We start from the raw sequence: 22837 nt of genomic DNA on the forward strand, positions 1-22837 counted from the left end.
TTAGTAGAGATGGGGTTTTGCCATGTTGGCCAGGCCGGTCTTGAACCCCTGATCTCAGATAATCCACCCACCTCGGCCTCCCAAAGTGCTGGGATTACAGGCATGAGCCATCACATCCAGCCCCAATAAGCATATTTTATGTATTAAAGCACTACATTAAATTATGAAATGGATAGGTGGGAAAAAACCCAGGATATACTATCATGAACCATTTCCTGAGTAATTAGTTATGTGCAAAAATGTAGGTCCCAATTATTTCTATCACTCCTCCACCTCTGCCTCTGCCTTCCTCATCTACTGACAGCACCAAATCTCAAACCTTCATTGGTCTTTCTGTCTTTCTCTTCCCCTCTCTTCCACTCACTCAAAGCACTCCAGAGTTAAGATTCAAAGGGCCCTTCTAGCTTATTCTCCTCTTACCACTTTACATCAGCCTTGCACTTTAGTCTTCTTGTCCTTGAATTTCCCTAGTGCCCCTACGCTTTTCTGCTTCTATAACTTTGCTCATATTTAATTCTCCAACCATATTTAATCCCATAACTGTACTTTGTACAGCTATCAGTTTATTACCTCTCTACTCCAAATTCATTCTTCATTGTCTTATCTGGAAAAGTGGATCTGGGCCTTTAAAATATTTTTCATTTGCCAGTATGACATGATGCTAAGCTCTGTCAATACAGTGCACTGGAAAGGGAGGGAAGGAGTTTTCTCAGCAGGTTTCTGGAGAGCTTATATTTTACCCCTCCACTGTTCCACTGCTGTGAGATTTCTCTATTGCAGTGGTTCACAACTAGAGACAATTTGCCCTCAGAGGACATATGGCAATATTTGGAGATTATTTTCCATTGTCATAACTTGGGGAACTACTGAGATACAGTGAATAGAGGCCAAGGATACTGCCAAATATCCTACAATACACAGGACAGCTCCCCACAACAAATAATTATCCAGCCCTGAAGGTCAATAATGCCAAGGCTGAAAAACAACACTGCTGTAGTACTAGGTGCCTGCAGGGGAAAGCTTTCTCCAGCATCTGGCTAGCGGCTGTGTGCTTTCTTTCTCCAGCTCTCTACTCAGGCAGCAGCAGCACTATAGCCAGGAGCCCCAGACCAGGTGGCTACTCCCCAGCCCCTCTCCTCAAACCATATGCACCGGCTTGGCCAGCCAGCCACCTGACCTTTGTTCCACACAGCAGCTTGGTATACTGTCCTGCCCCAAGCTGTAAACAGCAGTGCTCTAGATTGCTACACAGGGAGGCCTCTCCAACTTGCAATTCCAGTGGTATCTAAAGTGGTGCTCCAACTCCTTCTACTAACTAGCCAACCTCAACTCACTTGCACCCCAAGGGTTGTTACTGTGGCCCTGCCGCACTGCCCTGATTCCCTCTGCATGCTCTCCTACCAGTCTTAACTCACCTGCTCACACTGTGATTGTGCACCAGCGTTGGCTCAGACAACGCAGCAAATTTCTCTACCATCCAATGGGCTATAGCCACACTTTCAATGAGGTCTGAACCTCATTTCAATTCCGTCCTTCATTGGGTACTTTTCCTCAGCCCTAGGGTAACTTTTGGAGTTCTCCTTATAGAGTGACTTCATAGTTTTTCTCTTATCATACCCTAATAATTCTTTAAGTTAAACTAACAATTTTAGTTACTATGTGGCTTCTGTCTTCTGATTTGATCCAGACTGATATATCTCTCATGTGTCTGTGCAAATTTTTCTTTATAAATCTTTCCCTCATTATACACAGCTCAAATTCTATTTGTTACATGAAGCCTTCCTTGAGCACCCCAGGTAAACAAAGGAAATCACCTCTTCCTCTAAACTCACAGCATCTGTCTTTATTATAAGGTGGCAGTGGTAAAGGCACACAGCTAAGCTTCACCTGGTAAAATTTGTCATGTCATGCCACACTTTCCCACAGCACCACAGACAAGCAACTGATGCAAGGGCTATGTGTCCCTGCCCAGATTGAACATCCTAAGGCAAATGCAATGTTGGCTAGGTTGTAGTGAAATGGGAAATTCCACACATTGATGGTAATCATAAAAATGGCTTTGCAAAGCAATCTGGCAGCATGGATCAATACTCATAAAAGGTATAAACTTTGATTCAGTCATTCAATTCTGAAAAAAACCTAAAATATTTTAAGACTGATGCATGGAATGCTAATTATAACAGTGAAAAGCTGAAAAAACTAAATGGTCATGGATAGATGAATGCTTAATTATGATAACCCATTATCAGACACTAAAAAAATTATATATATGACTCGATATTAAGGAATAATTAAATAAATTGTAACTCAATATAATGATCAAATATTATGTTCCATCAAAACTGCTCTAAGTTGGTTATAATTTATGCATTTCTTTTCTAACATTTCTAAAATTTCACTTCTCTAGCCTGATGTTATATTGCCTCTTTCATTCTCTTTGTTTATTCCTTTATTGTTTATTCTGTTAATTTAGTGAATTTAGGAAGAAATAAACATATTTATTCTAACCTCTATGTTTAACCAAAAGTCCAAAACTGATTCTCTTAAGAATACTTAGAAAAATGAAAAATCCCCACTTAGAAAGTGGAGACCACTGTCCATTAAAAATATATGGACTAAATAAAGTATCACTTCATATTTTCTTATGGACTGAATTTTTACTTCACTAATAAATGCCACTGTAGCCCATTCTCCAAAACTATCACAAACTACAGTATATTTATGTAAGTTCTGACCTTTATAATGTGTTAGAAACAATATTAGATTTAGCACTAAACACTATATTAAATTAGAGCACTGACTGAGAAGACACTGGCCAAACTGAATACCTTCACCAGAAGAGAATTTAAAGTTATTAACTATAAAGTTGTTAAATATATTCAAATCATAAATATCAATACTTAACTTCAAGTAAATGACATTGTGGGAGCTTGATTAGCCACAAAATTAGTGAGAATTCAACTAGATATGAAAATCAAGCTCAGTCTATAAACATTGGAAAACAAAAAAGTACAACTCTAACACCTCAAATAAAATAAGCTGAGAAACATGGAATTAAAATGCTGGCTAGCTGCTGTATAGCTTCCCCTGTAGGCACCTAATTCCATGTATTTATAAAGCATCGTTTATTTTACTTCACTCTCGTATTTCTGAATCTCACACACCCACGTAAAAGCAGCAATGGAAAATCTGAGGCACGAGAATTAAAACTCTTCCCTACCTAAGAATCCAAGGTAGTTCAGTTCTGCAAATAACTGTCAGATTAACAAAGGAGAGTACGTTGTAATTATATACTGGTAAAGGATAATGGCACGCCTTCAGCCTCAGCCCATAAGCAATCTTTAATAAAATCAATTTTCATAAGCAGTAAGACTTGTGCTGGATAAAAACCAAGCGTGCATACAATCTGTGTAACTTAGGCAAGCCTATTTTCTTAAATATAGGTTTTAATTTGCTTAATGGGCTTCTAATTTTATTTAGTAAGAGGGTTTTTTCCAATTAAATCTCATACAAACCTAGATAATTTGACTAGTATAAATTTTAGAGGTTCAAATTTATAATATTTGTTATACTATTTATAATACAAACATATAAAGTCATGGGCTGATTTATTTATATGTTTAAATATATACTTAGTATACATTAAGTGATTCTATGTAAATATAATATTTATTTATTATAAAGTTAGCCATTGAGAACAGTAAGACTGTACTAATAAATAAAATATTTGAAAGTGGAGTTATAAATAATACATCTTAATCAGCTTCAGCAAACAGTAAAATGTCTGCATTTTACTTTGGCTACTTGGTAATACTGCTTTATTCATGTAAGAACTGTAGATGATAACAACTTTTTTAAGGTTTGTGTTGCAATGTCCAAATAGTTTTCAATTAAATGTCCAGACAGTCTTTCAAAAAAACTTGAAAAAGAGGTAATAAGATGGTTTTCTTTCCAAGTTAAAGTACCAACAATATCCAGTCATAACTTACATTATTTATTACATATGTAAGATGAACAGGAAGCTTCTAAAACTTCCTCAAATGCCAAAAACTTTAAACATAATAATATTAAATGTGGACCATTCTGTGGACTCTGTTATTGTGCCACGATGACACAGAGCAGAGCATATACTTTGCATGTGTCTGAACCTTCATTAGTGCTATTCCTAGGCACTAGTATTAAACCTACTTGGAAAATATATGGTGACTGGTCAAGTGCAGGTTTGACTTTTAAAGGCCCAGGGCAGAAAAACAAAATTTTTAATTGGTAACAGAAGTTTTACTTTAGTCATTTTTTAAAATTGGCCTAGAAGCCAACATAAACATGCTGGTGATCTGTACATCCCAAATAATCTTCCATTGAGAACAATTAGAAAAGCCAGAAAACCTTTTTAAAAATGTTAAAAAAAATCCATAACCACTGAAAGAATTTATAAGACTGTATAACAAATTAATAAAATATAGAAAATAATTAATATAGAAATAAGCAGAAAGCAGAGAAGCAATAGAGAATAGAAAATAGGACACAAAATGTATGAAATGCAGATAAAGATACGAATGCAGGAAAATTCAAAGTTTTGAAATGCATATATTAGAAAACAAGGCTGCAAATAAAGGACTTAGCCATTTGGCCTAAGGAATTAGAAAAAAAATAAATGAATCCAAATAAAGAAAATAGAAAAAAGATAATAATGAAGAGTAGATATTAATGAAATAGGAAAAAAAGTTTACATTAGAGAGGATTAGCAAACCCAAAAGTTTTTACTTTGAAAACACCTATAAATAAGTAAACCCTTGACTTCTCAAGAAAAGAGATGGTACAATCAATCAATATCAGAAGTGAAAAAAGGATATCACTCCAGATTCTACAGACATCAAAAAATAATAAACAAATATGAAGAAATGTATGCCAATAAACTTGACATGGGCAAATTCCAAAACAAACAAACAAACAAAAAAACCAAACCCAACAGATACAAAAAGAAAACAGACTAGAAGACTCTTAATAAACTTATATTTTAAGACAAAATTCTTGGTCCAGATGAAATTAACACCTAAGGAAGGAATAATACCAATTTTACATACAGTTGTCCAGAGAATAGAAAAAGAGGGACACTTCCCAACTCATTTTATGCAATCAGCAATTCTTTGTAATTTTTACTTTAAAATGTACATTATAATTAAGGTTGAGATAGATGCAAAAACTATTCAAAATATTAGCAGACCAAATCTAGTGCTATACAAAAGGGTAATAGATGACAACTAAATTGTGTATATATCAGAAATGAGAAGTTGTTTAAATATTCAAAATTTAATCAGTTTAAGTTACCACATTAACAGAATAAAGAAAACTTATATAATCATCTCAATTGATACAGAAAATATTTCATAAAATCCAATAGTCATGAAAAAATTCTTAACAAGTGAGAAATAAAGAAATCTTTTATAAAATATAAATATGAAATTCATTTTTTTCATATAATACAAGTATTAAAAATCTTCAGTAAATGTTTACTAAGGGTAAAATATTGAAACCCTCTCTGAGTTTGGGATCAAGATATGGAGGTCTGCTATCAACACTTCTATACTTGAGGTCTCAGCCAATGCAATAAGAAAACAAAAAAAGATATAAATATATTTAGATTGGATAGGAAGAAAGTGTGATTATTCACAAACATGATGACATACATAGAAAATGCAAAAAAAAAAAAACCCTTACATATATTATTTGAATTAATAAGTGAATGCAACATGGTCATTAGCTAAAAGGTCAATATATGAAAATCAAATATATTTCTACATACCAGCAACAAACAATTTGAAAATAAAACATAAAAGAGACCACTTATAACAGCATCAAAAAAATCAAATACTTAGGAATAAATCTAACAAATGATGTGCAAGACCTCTACACAGAAAGCTACGTGGTTTGCTGGATATTACTGAGAGAAATTAAATAACGAGGGGACAAACTGTATTCGTGAACTGGAAGTCTCACTAGTATAAACTCCAAATTAATTCTTAGATTTGTAAAATTCCAATCCAAATCAGGTCTTTTCCCTTTCCTTTTTTTAAAAATGGAAATTGTTAAGCTAATTCTAATATGTATGTGGAAGTGTAAAAAGTCAAGAATAACAAGACAAGGCCGGGCGCGGTGGCTCACACGCCTGTAATCCCAGCACTTTGGGAGGCCGAGGCGGGCGGATCACGAGGTCAGAAGATAGAGACCATCCTGGCTAACACGGTGAAACCCCATCTCCACTAAGAATACAAAAAAATTAGCCGGGCGTGGTGGCGGGCGTCTATAATCCCAGCTACTCAGGAGGCTGAGGCAGGAGAATCGCTTGGGAGGCGGAGCTTGCAGTGAGCAGAGATCATGCCACTGCACTCCAGCCTGCGCGATAGAGAGAGACTCCGTCTCAAAAAAAAAAAAAAAAAGAATAGCCAAGACAAGTTTGAAGAACAACCACAAAGTTGGAGGACTTTACCCTATATCCAGGTTTAATAAAAATATACCATTATTGAAGACAACATAGACAAAACAGTGGACAAGAACAGGGAATCCAGAAACAAATCCAAAGATATATCTTCATGATTCATGACAATGGCGTTCATGCAGAGGAGTAAGGAAAACAAGGTCTTTCAAATAAATGATGCTGGTTCAACTGGATATCCATGTGGAAAATAAATGAATCTTGACTCCTTTCTCACACCACAGACAAAATATAGTACTAGGTATATTATAGATCTAAATGTGAAACGTGAACAATAAAGCTTCCAAAAGATAACATTGGAACATACCTTTATGAGCTTAGGGTGGCCAAAGGTTTCGTAAACAAGGTAATAGTAAACATGAGCCATAAAGGAAAAGACTGCCAGGCGTGGTGGCTCACACCTGTAATCCCAGCACTTTAGGAGGCCGAGGCAGGTGGATCACAAGGTCAGGAGATCAAGACCATCCTGGCCAACATCGTGAAACCCCATCTCTACTAGAAATACAAAAAAAAAAAAAATTAGCTGCGCTTGGTGGCGCGTGCCTGTAATCCCAGCTACTCAGGAGGCTGAGGCAGAAGAATTACTTGAACCAGGGAGTCGGAGGTTGCAGTGAGCCGAGATCGCACCACTGCACTCCAGCCTGGCAGCAGAGTGAGAGTTCATCTCAAAAAAAAAGGAAAAGACTTTCAAATTCCATCCTCCATTAGAATTAAGAACTTGGATTTAGCAAAAGACACTATTAAGAGAGTCAGAAGGCAAGTCACAGAGTGGGAGAACACTATACATATACACACACACATATATACACATATGTATAGTATTCTGAAAACGAGCCTGTTGTTAGGAAATATATATATACACACAGGATATAAAAATAGATTTTTGTCCCAACATGCACATATCCAGAATTTACAAAGAACTTTTACAAATCAGTAAGAGACAACTCAATAGAAAAATGATATTTGAACAGGCACTTCACAAAAGAGACTATCAGCGAATAAACATAAGGGCTTTCTAGAAGAGTAAAAGAATACTGATACAGAAACTATAAATAAAATACCATTCAGGGAGGAGACTGATTTGCTGGATATGTATAGGCCAATACCGAAGCTGTCCTACTGTTCACTATGAAGGCCTTGAATGGCAAGCTAAAAAATTAGAAAACCAGAAATTCCACAAACAGGTTTTCCAAGGAACATGTATCACAAGCTACCAGTTACCATACTTAAGAAAATAAAGTGTTCTCAGGAAACATTGGGTGTTCCAGTTACTCTCGCTATCTAAAATATTACTTTAAAACTTAGTGGCTTAAGACAACCATTTACTATGCTTATGGATTCTGTGGGTCAGGAATTCAGAAAGGGCACAACAAAGATAGCCTATCTCTGATCCAAAGTCTGGGGCCTTAGCTGAGAAAACTCAAGAACTGGGTGTGATCTGATCACTGGAGGCAGGAGTCATCTGGAAGTATCTTTGTTCATATGCTTGGTGACTGATGCTGTTGTCACATAGGCTGTTGGCCTGGAACACCTGCATGTGCCTTCTCCATTTGGCCTGCCAATATGGGCTACTTAAGCTTCTTCAGAAAATGGTGGCTTGGTTCCAAGAGCAAATGTCTCAAGAGTACCAGATTAAAGTTGTATCACCTTTTATGACCTACCCTCAAAAGTCACATAGCATCACTTCCATGTTAGACAGAAGCCCATCAATATTCAAAGACAGCATGTTCTTTGTACAATATGACTGTGACATTTCTACTGAGAGGGGTCAGTAGAAGAAGTGTCAAAGTCATATTGTAAAAAGAACATGTGGTATGGGAGTTACTATTGTGGCCATCTTTGGAAAACACAATCTGCAAAGTTAAGTTAAACACAAAGGCACATAAGCTTTACTTCTGAGGAACTTTTTCAAAGCACACCGATAAGAACTGAGAATGCTTTAGAGGGGGACATAGTATACAACAGGGGTCCACAATCCCTGGGCCATGGTCTGGAACTGGTTAGGAACCAGGCCACATAGCAGGAGATAAGCGGCAAGCAAGCATTACTGCCTGAGCTCCGCCTCATGTTAGATCAGTGGAGGCATTAAATTCTCACAGGAACGCAAACCCTATTGTGAACTGTGCATGCGAAGGATCTAGGTTGTATGCTCCCTATGAGAAACTAACGCCCAGTGATCTGAGATGGAACAGTTTCATCCCAAAACCATCACTCCCCACTCCCCACCATTTGTGGAAAAATTGACTTCCACAAAATGGGTCCCTGGTGCCAAAAAGGTATTCGACCTTCTTTTTTTTTTTTTTTTGAGACGGAGTCCCGCTCTCTCGCCCAGGCTGGACTGCAGTGGCGCGATCTCGGCTCACTGCAAGCTCCACCTCCCGGGTTCACGCCATTCTCCTGCCTCAGCCTCCCGAGTAGCTGGGACTACAGGCGCCCGCCACCACGGCCGGCTAATTTTTTTGTATTTTTAGTAGAGACGGGGTTTCACCGTGTTAGCCAGGATGGTGTCGATCTCCTGACCTCGTGATCCGCCCATCTCGGCCTCCCAAAGTGCTGGGATTACAGGCGTGAGCGGCCGCGCCCGGACTCAACCTTCTAAAAACTGATTTGACTATATTTCATTAATGGTGATCCTACTAATCTCTCTCATTAATACCTCATCTCCTTCCTCAGAACAGTTTGGGAAGATGTTGGAGGAAAGATAATCTGGTGGATTTAAAAGGCAGAGGGACTGGATTAACTGGATTAAACTAGTTTTTTTTTTTTGTTTTTTGAGATGAGTCTTGCTCTGTCGCCCAGGCTGGAGTGCAGTGGCGCGATCTCGGCTCAAAGCAAGCTCTGCCCCCGGGGTTCACGCCATTCTCCTGCCTCAGCCTCCCGAGTAGCTGGGACGACAGGCGCCTGCCACCATGCCTGGCTAATTTTTTGTATTTTTAGTAGAGATGGGGTTTCACTGTGTTAGCCAGGACGGTCTCGATCTCCTGACCTCGTGATCCACCCCTCTCGGCCTCCCAAAGTGCTGGGATTACAGGTATGAGCCACCTCACCTGGCCTAAACTAGTTCTTTTAAGAGGACTATGAAAGACAGAAAAAACACAAGATTACACTAGAGTTTGGCAGCTATCAAAATAATCTTGTTTAGATTATTTCAAAATATCCTGTTTAGATTATTTTGATAATAATCAATCAAATGTAGGCAAGAGTGGGAATGAAAAAGGAGTGAATGAGAGTCTTGGTAATGATATGGAGAACCAGGGAAGGGAAAGGGGCAGAGATGACAGATTTTGATGCCAAAGATGAGGGGAATGAAAGCACTCCTCACATACATATAGGGGGAAATGTAAAAGAAGGGAATTTAGTGGGAGGAAAGGAAGCTGGGATTAGTTACAAATGTAGTTTAAGTTTCAAGAAAATAAGGAACAAGGCCAGAAGACAATGTGAGCCACAGAACTAAAGCTCAAGAGAGAACAAAGTAGACATACAGTTTCTCCAGCAGCTTCTTAAAGAAATTCTCTATTTTGGCTTCTATGCCACCTCCCAGTCCTCAATGGGAACCTTTTCCTCTCCTATTCCCTGTCCCCAAAGTTTCTGCCCTGGATTCCCTTCTCTATATGCTCTCCCCTGGAGATTACATCCACTTCGAGAATTAGCCAAGTGAGAGAATCCTTTATATCTACTTCTCAAGTTCCTGTCAAGTTTTTCCAGCTATTGAGCATTTTCATCTGGGTGCCTCATTGATGCATAAAACTTCTGCAGAGCAAGTATCAAAATCATCTTGTTTTAAAAATCAACCCTATAAACCCTACATCATGACTTCTCTGCTGCCATATATGGACTAATATTCTCCCAGTCACCCTAATTCAAAAGCTTCTTTGGCAACCCCTGCTATATTTTGGGAGCAATATCCATAGGTAAGGAAAAAAGATATCAGCAAAATAAAAAGGAACAATTAGAAACAGGCATTAACTAAGACATGTAAAGTAATGTAAGCCAGTGAGGAGTGTTTCAAGAAAGTGGCAGGATGGTGATAAAGTTTTAAAAATAGATATTAACAAATGTCCAAGAGCGTAAGAACCAAGGCAACAGTAAGAACTAATAACTGAGAGTGCTTTCTGTAAGCCAGGTACTGTGCTAAGCACTTAACAGATGCTATCTAAATTTAATCCTGATGACAACCCTATAGATGGGTACTATTATTTCATCCTCCCACCCCAAGAAAATATGTGAGAAAATTGATTCAAAGACATTACGCAATTTGCCTAAGTCACACAGCTAGTAAGTTGTAAAGTGGCAGAGTCAGAATTTGAATCCAGAAATGTCTGAAAGATTCCAGAGCTCATGTTCTTTATTTTTAAAATTCTACTTATATGCATATATATAATTTCACTTATATGGATAAATGAGATATAATGCATGCTGTGATTTTTCTAAACAATTTTTTAACCTTTTGCATCATGCCTCCACTCTACCTCTCCTCCTTACCATCCATATCTCTCCCAAACCCATGTTATTAACTTAGTATAGTCTTCCATATTCTTCTATAATTATACACAAATATATGTTAAGCATTTATGTATTTTTTCATGAATGAGTTGCCAGTGTTTGACAAATAGTAGCATATTATATATACTTCTATGCATTTTGCTTTCATACTTAATAACATATGGATATCCTGCCAAGTCAAAGAGTTTATATAAGTAATTCATTTTTAATGGTTCCATAATGTGGATATACCATAAGTTATATGACCATCTCCCTGGTGCCAAGCACTCAATTAGTTCCCAGTTTTTTCAGAACAATGCTGCAATAAGTACCCTTAAATACCTATGTTCTCACATACATTCATATCTACCAGTGCTTTTGTTTTTATAGGCCAGATTGCCAAGTGTGAAATTACTGGTTGAATTTTAATAGATGTTGCCAGATTATTCTCAAAAAAAGAATGTAATTCTTTTAGCGATGTAGAATGGTATCTTTCCCTCTGCAACCCTATCATCACTAAGTGATACCACACTTTGTAAGTCTTACAGTCTTTGGATATAAAATACCTTACTCTTTAATTTGCATTTCACTGACTACAAGTGTGTTTAAGCATTTTTTCATGTTTGTTAGCTTTTTAGACTATCTTTTCTGTAAATTGTCTCTTCATATCATTTGTCTAGGTTCCAAGTGAGTTATCTTTTTCTTATCAGTCTGTAAGAAAACTTTGTATAATGCAGATACTAACTCTTTTCTGGGTTTCCATATTTTACATATTGTTTCCCAGATGTCTATTTTAATTTTTATTAGTCTCTACTTCTAAACCTTTAATCCATTATATAAGGATCCAACTTTATTTTCTTTCAGATGGAAAGCTACTTGTGTTAATACCACTGTAATACAGAAACCATCTTTTCCCCCACTAAATTAACATATATTATTTTTCATGCATTAACTTTTCATACTTACTGAGAAAGAGCTTTTTAATCACAATGTTATACTGTCAGTGAGTCTGACAATGGGGGGGGGGGGTCCATGGTTTATTTTTAATTATATTGTAGGGATAGGAATCAAACTGATAAACCTCAGCAGTCAATATAACCTAAATCTCAAGTATGGCCACTGAAAGTTACCTGTTCTACTTAATTTTTGTTTTTTCTTAGATTTACCTAATTTGTCATCTATGTAAAATCTTCAGTATTCTTCAAGGGAAATGAAGGAAAGGAGAAAGAACTTTTTGATTTTTTATTTATTTTTATTATTATTTTTGAGATAGGATCTCACTTTGTCACCCAGGCTGGAATACAGGGGCACAATCTTCGCTCACTGCAGCCTCAACCTTCTGGGCTCAAGTGATCCTCCAGCCTCCGCCCCACAAGTAGCTGAGACTATAGGCACACACCACCATGCCTGGCTAACTTTTTGTATTTTTGGTAGAGAAGGGGTTTCACCATGTTGCCTAGGCTGGAAGAAATAGCTTTTTAAATCTGAAACTATATGACAACTTTAAAAGTTTTAGTGAAGTAAATATAAATTTTTCATTTCATCTTCATTCCTGGTTCCTTTTCTCTAATTTCAAAATTCCTACTTTACCTGTCAGTGAGATACTACAGACAATTTTCAATTTGCCAAGGCCTAAATTCTCTTCTCCATTTCCTTCCCCATTTCCCTTTTATTAGGGCCTGTAACAAGGAATTACCTGAGACAAAAAGAGAAAAAAATTATGTATGTTCATGCTTCATCTGCTAATTACAGAGATAACTCTGCAGAGGTTTAAAATCTTGAGTAACATTAGTTCATATATACAAATAACCTAAAACTGTTACTAGTTTTTCCAAGAAATTCCATGTATATTGAAAGTAGCTCTCCTTGAAGGATGAAATGTTTTAAAAAGTAAGAACCAAAAATAATTACAAAATAGAAAAAATACTAATTAAAATTAAAAACTTGCTGGATGGGCTCAATAGTGGAGTGGAATTGACAGAGAACAGGATCAGTGAACTTGAAAACAGATCAACAGAATTTACTTAGTCTGAACACAGAAAAACAGACAAAGAAACAAGAAAGGCATCAGGGACTTGTAGGACAATAACAAATGACCTAACATTCATCCAATCAGAGTTTTAGAGGAAGAGAAGAAAGTATGGCGCTGAAAAAAATAAAGATATAATAGCTGAAAACTTCACAATTTGACAAAAGACATAAATCTACAGAGTCAAGAAGCTGAGAAAAACCCTAAGTGGGAAAAAATAAAAATAAAAGATACATCATAAGTCAAGTTTAGAAAATTAAAAACAAAGAAAAAAATCTCAAAAGCAGCCAAAGAGAAATGGCACATTACCTTTAAGGGGAACAATAATTTGAATGCCATCAGATTTCTCATCAGAAATCATGGAAGCCAGAAAGAAATGGCACATTTTTCAAATGTTAAAGAAAAAGAACTGTCAAGGCCAAATTCCATATAGGACAAAACCACCCTTCAGGAACAAAGGGGAACAACATTCTCAGATGACGGAAACTAATTTGTCACTAACAGACATATCTTTAGGAGGTTCTCCTAAAAAAAAGTTCCTCAAACAAAAAGGAAATGATGTATCAATAAGGTTTAATTTGAGTAAAGGAAGAACACTGGAACGGGTAATAGTCATGGTAAATATAAAATGAACTATTCTTCATCTTATGAGTTTCTTAAATCATATTTGATAGTTGAAGTAAACGTTATAACAACATTTGATGTGGTGTTCAAGGTGTATAGAGAAAATACAAATATTAAATTTTAAAAAGGGAAAAGGAGAAAGGACCTACATGGAAGAAAGGTCTCTAAACTTCAATTGGCAAAAGGCAATAAAAGTATCCCTTGTGATAAGTTGTTACATCTATTGTTATACCCAAAGCACACTAAAAAAGGTTAACTAAGCCAGATACTCAAAAACACTATAAACATGTCAAATAGAATTCTGAAAATATTCAAGCAACCTACAGAAAGACCAGAAAAGAGGAACAGATATGAAAAACAGGAAATAAACAGAAAACAAATAATAAAATGGCTGGCTTAAGCCCTAACACAGCAATTACTTTTAAGTGTAAATGATATAACTATACTAGTTAAAAGACAGAGATTGGCAGAGAAGTTTCTTTTTTAAAAGACCCAAGCATATAGCGTCTATAAGAAATTCACTAAAACATAATGACATTGGTAGGTTGAAAACAGAAGTATGGAAAAGATATGCCATACTAACTACTTTTTTTAAGTAGTGATGGCTACACTGCCATCAGTTAAGTAGACTTCAGAGCAAAGAAAATTATTGTACAAAGATACAAGGATTAATTCATCAAGAAAACATCTTAAATGTATATGCACCAAACAACAGATATTTAACATGAAGCCAAAACCAACAGAGCTCAAAGGAAAAACAGAGACATCCATAATTATAGTTGGGATCTTCAGCAACGAAAATAACTATTAGACGATCAAGAAGACACAGAAGAACAGAACACCACCATCAATGAACAGGACATAACTGACATGTATAGAACACTGCAACCAATAATAACAGAATACACATTCTTTTCAAGCATACATGGAACATCCACCAAGATACACCATACCCTCAGTCATAAAAGAAACTTAAAAATTAAAAATTATACAGCTTATGTTTTCTGATCATTGTGGAAAAAAACTAGAAATCAACAACAGAAAAACAACAGGTAAATCACCAAACACTTGGAAACTAAATGACACACTCCCAAATATTTTCATGGGTCAAGCAAATTTCTAAGGAAAAATTTAAACTATATAGAACTGGATAGAAATGAAAATACAAGACAGCAAAATTTGTGAGATGCAACAAAAGCAATGCCAAGAGGGAAATTATAGCAATAAATGCTTACGTTAGAAACAAAGAAAGACCTTAAACTAATAATCACAGCACTAGACAAGAAGCAAAATAAACCTAAAGTGAGAAGGAAGAAAATAATAAATATAAGAGCAGAAATCAATGACATTAAAAATATAAAAATAGACAAAGATGAAATAAAGAGCGAGTTCTTTGAAAAAGGTCACTATAACCAGCAAATCATCACTGAAAAAGATAAAATGACACAAATTACTAATACAGTAGCAATAATGAAACAAGGGTTATCACTAAAAACCATGTAGAATACTATTACCCTACCAAAGCCTGACAAAGGCAGTACAAAACAAACAAGCAAAAAACTACAACACATCTCTCATACCTATACCTTAACCTCTCACACCTCTCTACCTATACCTTAACAAAATATTAGCAAATAGAATATGGAAATATATAATTATATACTTTAACCAAGTGAGATTTATACCAGTTGTGTTCAACATTTTAAAATCAATGTAACTCACCATATCAACAAGCTAAAGAAGTATTAATTCACTAAACATACACTTACCATATGACTTAGCAATTGTACTCTTGGGCATTTATCCCAGAGGGGGAAAAATGTATGTTCACTCAAAAATCTTCAGACAAAAGTTCATAGAAGCTCTATTTATAATAGTGTAACCCAAATGTTCTTCAATGAATGAATGGTTAAACAAACTGTAGCATAGCCATCCCATGGAATACTACTCAGCAATAAATAAAGAAATGCATGACAGATACACACAATTTGGATGGATCTCAAAAAGTTACATACGGTATGAGTCCATCTACACAATATCCTTGAAATGACAAAATTATAGAGATAGAGCAGTGGTTGCCACGGGTTAGGGATAGGGCTGGGACAAGATAGACTGACTATAAGGAGGCAGCATAAGGGAGCCTTGTGGTGATGGAATAATTCTTTATCTTGATTACGGTAGTTATAAGAAGCTACACATAGACCTGTGTACACACACAAATGAGTCCTTATAAAGTTGGTGAAATGGAAATATACTCTGTGAATTGTATCAATGTCAATTTCCCAGTTTTAATATCGTACCACAGTTATCCAAGTTGTTACCATTGAGGCAGGCAGTCTGAAGGGTACACAAGGACTTCCCTGTAAAGTTTTTTGCAACTTCCTCTGAATATGCAATTCTCTCAAAACAAAAAGGTTTTTAAAAAAGTTATTAATAATTATATATGTATTTAATTGCAACTGGTATAATAAGTGGTATGAAAGGGGAAAATTGGGAATCTTAGCACATAGCCCTATATAAACTTGAAAACATACAGGTGAAAGTCAACACATAAACAGATGATGCATAAACAGAATTCTTTTTACGCTTCTGCTGTAACTATGGGTATCCATCTCATCTTTCTCCAGAATAACATGTAAGAACAAGTAATTGTTTTCTATATCCTAACTTGATCACCATCTAGCCCCTTGCAATAAAACTACTGCTTTTTTTTTTTGCTTCTTTTTATTTGCAAATTATATTCTCTTCCTTTCTCATCAGACCTAAAAAGCAGGCAATTAATAGAACAAGAAATTGAAGGTCAAAGATGTTTACATTTTTTGTTCAAGGACATAAGCATTTAAATGGCAAAATAAATTCTACAGTCTTCTGATACCTATTCCAATATTTCCCAGTCACATATTACTTTGAAATATTATATAACACTAAAGAATCCAAAAAACAAACTGCAAAATACTGTAGGAGAAAGTCCAAGTGGTAATGAGTGTATGTTACACCAAGATTCTGTGTAGTTGTCTTTGCTCCTGCTTGATGTGGTTGCGAGATGAGCAATTTCACAATTCTTCTTTTAATGACTTTTACATTTTCACCTACTTTTGCTGTATTTGCTGTCTGAATGACTGCACACTAACCCCAGTGAGATTTTTCTTAAATCTGTGCAAGTGGGCCAGAAAATAAAGCTTAAATGATGAAGATAAAATCTATGACTACTGCTGAGGACATATTAAAAACGAAACCACACACTACACTCAAGATGAACTTGCTGAATTATCTTTACTGGAAAAAGGCAATTTGTTTTGCACAACTCCTTTGCAACTGTGACATCAAACTTTCTTGTAATTACACACACAATTTTTTTTTAATGTACCAGAGAGTAGCTTTCAGCTTCTGGACATCAATTAATGCCAAGAATTTCACAAGTGTACAAACTACTTACCTATATTAAATACACTCATTAGAAATAATATATTAATTTCCCTTTGGTTGAGGTATACTTAAAGTGACTTCAGAATTAAGTGCTCAATCTTAAATACATTATGGTAATACTACAAGGGAGAAAATGCTGAAAGCAGAGCAACATTTTAACAAAGAAAAAAGTCCTCGCAAATCAATAAACGTAATCCAGCATATAAACAGAACCAAAGACAAAAACCACATGATTATCTCAATAGATGCAGAAAAGGCCTTTGACAAGATTCAACAGCTCTTCATGCTAAAAACTCTCAATAGATATTGATGGGACGTATCCCAAAATAATAAGAGCTATTTATGACAAACCCACAGCCAATATCATACTGAATGGGCAAAAACTGGAAGCATTCCCTTTGAAAACTGGCACAAGACAGGGATGCCCTCTCTCACCACTCCTATTCAACATAGTGTTGGAAGTTCTGGCCAGGGCAATTAGGCAGCAGAAAGAAATAAAGGGTATTCAATTAGGAAAAGAGGAAGTCAAATTGTCCCTGTTTGCAGATGACATGATTGTATATTCAGAAAACCCCATCGTCTCAGCCCAAAATCTCCTTAAGCTGATAAGCAACTTCAGCAAAGTCTCAAGATACAAAATCAATGTGCAAAAATCACAAGCATTCTTATACACCAATAACAGACAAACAGAGAGCCAAATCATGAGTGAACTCCCATTCACAATTGCTTCAAAGAGAACAAAATACCTAGGAATCCAACTTACAAGGGATGTGAAGGACCTCTTCAAGGAGAACTACAAACCACTGCTCAATGAAATAAAAGAGGACACAAACAAATGGAAGAACATTCCATGCTCATGGATAGGAAGAATCAATATTGTGAAAATGGCCATACTGCCCAAGGTAATTTATAGATTCAATGCCATCCCCATCAAGCTACCAATGACTTTCTTCATGGAATTGGAAAAAACTACTTTAAAGTTCATATGGAACCAAAAAAGAGCCTGCATTGCCAAGTCAGTCCTAAGCAAAAAGAACAAAGCTGGAGGCATCACGCTACCTGACTTCAAACTATACTACAAGGCTACAGTAACCAAAACAGCATGGTACTGGTACCAAAACAGAGATATAGATCAATGGAACAGAACAGAGCCCTCAGAAATAATACCACACATCTACAACTATCTGATCTTTGACAAACCTGACAAAAACAAGAAATGGGGAAAGGATTCCCTACTTAACAAATGGTGCTGGGAAAACTGGCTAGCCATATGTAGAAAGCTGAAACTGGATCCCTTCCTTACACCTTATACAAAAATTAATTCAAGATGGATTAAAGACTTAAATGTTAGACCTAAAACCATAAAAACCCTAGAAGAAAACCTAGGCAATACCATTCAGGACATAGGCATGGGCAAGGACTTCATGTCTAAAACACCAAAAGCAATGGCAACAAAAGCCAAAATTGACAAATGGGATCTAATTTAACTAAAGAGCTTCTGCACAGCAAAAGAAACTACCATCAGAGTGAACAGGCAACCTACAGAATGGGAGAAAATTTTTGCAACCTACTCATCTGACAAAGGGCTAATATCCAGAATCTACAAAGAACTCAAACAAATTTACAAGAAAAAAACAAACAACCCCATCAAAAAGTGGGTGAAGGATATGAACAGACACTTCTCAAAAGAAGACATTTATGCAGACAAAAAACACATGAAAAAATGCTCATCATCACTGGCCATCAGAGAAATGCAAATCAAAACTACAATGAGACATCTTCTCACAGCAGTTAGAATGGTGATCATTAAAAAGTCAGGAAACAACAGGTGCTGGAGAAGATGTGGAGAAACAGGAACACTTTTACACTGTTGGTGGGACTGTAAACTAGCTCAACCATTGTGGAAGTCAGTGTGGCGATTCCTCAGGGATCTAGAACTAGAAATACCATTTGACCCAGCCATCCCATTACTGGGTATATACCCAAAGGAATATAAATCATGCTGCTATAAAGACACATGCACATGTATGTTTATTGCAGCACTACTTACAATAGCAAAGACTTGGAACCAACCCAAACGTCCAACAATGATAGACTGGATTAAGAAAATGTGGCACATATACACCATGGGATACTATGCAGCCATAAAAAAGAATGAGTTCATGTCCTTTGTAGGGACATGGATGAAGCTGGAAACCATCATTCTCAGCAAACTATCGCAAGGACAAAAAACCAAACACCACATGTTCTCACTCATAGGTGGGAATTGAACAATGAGAACACTTGGACACAGGAAGGGGGAGATCACACACCGGGGCCTGTTGTGGGGTGGGGTGAGTGGGGAGGGATAGCATTAGGAGATATACCTAATGTAAATGACAAGTTAATGGGTGCAGCACACCAACATGGCACATGTATACATATGTAACAAACCTGCACGTTGTGCATATGTACCCTAGAACTTAAAGTATAATTTTAAAAAAATTAAAAAAAAGAAAGAAAAAATCCTCCAGTCTGAAGGCATTAAGTTATCAAAAAGCAAAATATTAAAATATAAAATTTTAGATGGGCACCCACTGTGTTGCCCTGATTATCCCCCTAGAATGCTACATGCTGGAAAGAGGGGCCTTAGCAGGTTTCTAAGTCTTTAACCTTCAGGTGGAAAAATGGGGAAACACACAAGAGACACTCCTACGTATAGTTTCAGAAAGAAGTTTAATTAAAAAACAGCTTTTGAGAATAAACATTCTGGAGATGCTTCTAAATCTTCTGGGTTTCTTTTGGTTGTATCTCTTTCTCCATACAGATTTGTTCTTTCAACTCAAGGACTATCAACTCTTTTTTTTTTTTTGAGACTGAGTCTCACTTTGTCGCCCAGGCTAGAGTGCAGTGGCGCCATCTCGGCTCACTGCAAGCTCCACCTCCCGGGTTCACGCCATTCTCCTGCTTCAGTCTCCCGAGTAGCTGGGACTACAGGCGCCCGCCACCACGCCCGGCTAATTTATTTATTTATGTATTTATTTTTGTATTTTTAGTAAAGATGGGGTTTCACCGTGTTAGCCAGGATGGTCTCGATCTCCTGACCTCCTGATCCGCCCGCCTCGGGGTCCCAAAGTGCTGGGATTACAGGCGTGAGCCACGGCGCCCGGCCAGGACTATCAACTCTTGTGTTTGGTACACAGGACACAAAGCAGGTGTCCGGTAACTACTTGCGAGGGAAGATACGAATTAACCAAGGAATAAAGTGTTCCAATCTGCATTCTGTCTTGCGTGGGGAACAAAACCAAACTAAGACCCAAGGATGAGGGTTTACGGTTAAGGTCTTCAGCGTGAATAAAAGGCGGCGTGAGCACTAAACGCCGGGGGCAAAGAACACTCCCGGCCCAGAGTTTGACCCCTCCTAGCGAGTTCTTCCCGGCCAGCTGCCCAACTTTTTGGCCTCTACTCCTCCGCGGGGGCACCATAAGACTCCCTACAGGTGGGCTACACTTAGGGGTTCAAATGCTGCATTACCGCGCTCGGGTGAGCGACTGCCCGGCCTGCAACTCAAGGGACTCCCAGGCCAAGTGGCTCCGAACTCGCGAGCTGTCGGAACAGTATTATTTTTGCTGCTACGGGCCATCTGGCCCAGGGCAACAGGGGCTCTGCGAGGAACCATAGAGAAGAAGGGGCGCCAGATCCCGCGTGCCTGCCCACCCGTCCTTCCTTTGGGCAGTCACCCTGAGCTCGGCAAGCTGTACCTCACCTGTCCACCTGGAAGGCTGCCCGCTCTCCCTGAGGGTCCTGGGAAGGCGGCACGAGACCGGAAGTGCCCCCCTCAGGTGACGTCACAGTACCGCGCCGGAGCTGATCCGGGAAGCCGATGTCAGCCTGGCGCGCGGCGCACAGCTGGCTGGGAGATTTCTTACTGGCTTGGAGCCGGTGGTCCAGATCAGAGAGACCTCTTGGAGGGTGTCGGGGTTTTCCTTTCTTTTTCATTTGAATTTTATCCGCCTTTTATTTTCTGTCATCCTTGATGTGCTTCTGGCTTCTGGCTTCCCTTTCCTTCTCTCTCATTTGTTCCATGTCTGCCCCTCTTTTCTCCCTCTTCCCATTTCCCTCTTTCTGCGTTACTAGTTGCATATCTTCCCCACATACACAGGAAAGTTGATTCTCATTTGATCATGTTCATAAGCATGATCAATAAAGTATTTTTTTAATTAAGGTGTTGCCAACTTTAAGAAAATTCAGAGAATAATATTAAGTATAGAGTTTATTTGGGCTCAGTGCTTGAGAATGGCCACTCAGGAGCTTAGATTCAAGTTGCCTTGAATATACACTCCAATTAGCAGCAGTCGGAGTAGGTTTTTTTTTTTTTTTTTTTTTTTTTTTGAGACGGAGTCTTGCTCTGTCGCCCAGGCCGGACTGCGGACCGCAGTGGCGCAATCTCGGCTCACTGAAAGCTCCGCTTCCCGGGTTCACGCCATTCTCCTGCCTCAGCCTCCCGAGTAGCTGGGACTACAGGCGCCCGCCACCGCGCCCGGCTAATTTTTTGTATTTTTAGTAGAGACGGGGTTTCACCTTGTTAGCCAGGATGGTCTCGATCTCCTGACCTCATGATCCACCCGCCTCGGCCTCCCAAAGTGCTGGGATTACAGGCGTGAGCCGGTTTTTAAGGAAAGGAGAGGAGGCAGAGCTTAACTTGTTTACCAAGAATTTATATTTAAAAAACTTAAGCTATTGACTGGCTATGCTTTCTTCCTTGTATCACAAATTCCAGGAACATAAAGATAATGGGTGAGGCAGCTAATAAAGAACAAAATGCCTTTAACAATTGCCCTAAGGCATGGGAAGGCGTGGCGGAAGCCAGTATTCACTTCTGTCCGGGTCTAATAAATTTTGCATACCTCACATAGCTCAGACAGCTCTGGGCTATTTTTCTTTTCTTAGTATGTACTTTTTTTAGACATAATACTGTTGTACACAATAATCTACAGTACAGTGTAAATATAAATTTTATATGCACTGGGAAACCAAAAAAATTCTGTGAACTGCCTTATTGTGATGTTTGCTTTATTGTGGTAGTATGGAACTGAACCCCCAATATCTTCAAAGTATGCTTGGATTTAAAAAAGAGGTTTACTTAGCTCATGGTTCTGCACATTGGAAAGCTCAAGGGGCATAGTGTGAGCATCTGCTCAGTTCTGGTTAGAGTTTTTTGTGCAGTGTCACAACATGGTAGAAGGTCAAAGGGGAAGCTGATACATGTGAAAACAGACCAAACAGGAGGTGGAAAACAACCCACTCTCTCAGGGACTCTCTCTTTTCCAATCTCTCAAGAGCTGTTATCAAACCAAACTGGAGTCCAATTGCCTGTGCAGCAAGACCAAACACTGACATCAGGATTATAGTGAAAGAAAGTGAGGCATTTATTGTAGGGTCCCAAGCAAGGAGAACTGGTCAGTTAGTGCTTAAGTCTTGAACTCCCTAATTGTTTATAGGTAAGGGTTTTTAAATGCAGGGGTGTCAGAGGTTATAGGCAAAGTCATAAATCAATATATGGAGGTTATATATTGGCTTAACCTAAAAATGCAGTGAGGTAGGATGCAGGAATTGGACACCAGACCAAATTGAGGACTAGCTAAAACAGGGGCAGGGAGGAAGCAGCTTTCCATATTAATGCCCCTTTCCATGGCAACAACCTGACAACCCAGAGGTTACCACCCTTTTCCTAGAAATTTCTGCATAATTCACCCCTTAATTTGCCTGTAATTAAAAATGATTATAAATATGACAGAAGAACT

At 37.7% G+C, this 22837-nt stretch overlaps 1 protein-coding gene across 26 annotated transcripts in view, besides 3 other annotated features; it reads right to left on the reverse strand.

The window, feature by feature from the left end:
- The window catches only part of LDAH (lipid droplet associated hydrolase), a 140613-nt gene extending 119749 nt beyond the window's left edge, over positions 1-20864 (reverse strand). For all 26 annotated transcript variants that reach the window (XR_007079565.1, XR_007079563.1, XR_001738874.2 and 23 more), the window contains exon 1: positions 20800-20864. The gene's annotated coding sequence lies outside the window, so the exon portion shown is untranslated. The remainder of the gene's footprint in view (positions 1-20799) is intronic.
- Positions 19740-20565: an enhancer, noted in NCBI's record as "NANOG-H3K27ac-H3K4me1 hESC enhancer chr2:21021737-21022562 (GRCh37/hg19 assembly coordinates)". NCBI's record gives its function as "activates a minimal SCP1, AML or CMV promoter by ChIP-STARR-seq in naive H9 embryonic stem cells {active_cell/tissue: H9 hESC(naive)}" and the evidence as "EXISTENCE:reporter gene assay evidence [ECO:0000049][PMID:30033119]".
- Positions 20368-20437: an enhancer, noted in NCBI's record as "active region_15406". NCBI's record gives its function as "activates an Ori minimal core promoter by ATAC-STARR-seq in GM12878 lymphoblastoid cells {active_cell/tissue: GM12878}" and the evidence as "EXISTENCE:reporter gene assay evidence [ECO:0000049][PMID:35858748]".
- Positions 20658-21047: an enhancer, noted in NCBI's record as "active region_15407". NCBI's record gives its function as "activates an Ori minimal core promoter by ATAC-STARR-seq in GM12878 lymphoblastoid cells {active_cell/tissue: GM12878}" and the evidence as "EXISTENCE:reporter gene assay evidence [ECO:0000049][PMID:35858748]".

Source organism: Homo sapiens, chromosome 2, assembly GCF_000001405.40.
Source record: "Homo sapiens chromosome 2, GRCh38.p14 Primary Assembly".
Taxonomy (NCBI): Eukaryota; Metazoa; Chordata; class Mammalia; order Primates; family Hominidae; genus Homo; species Homo sapiens.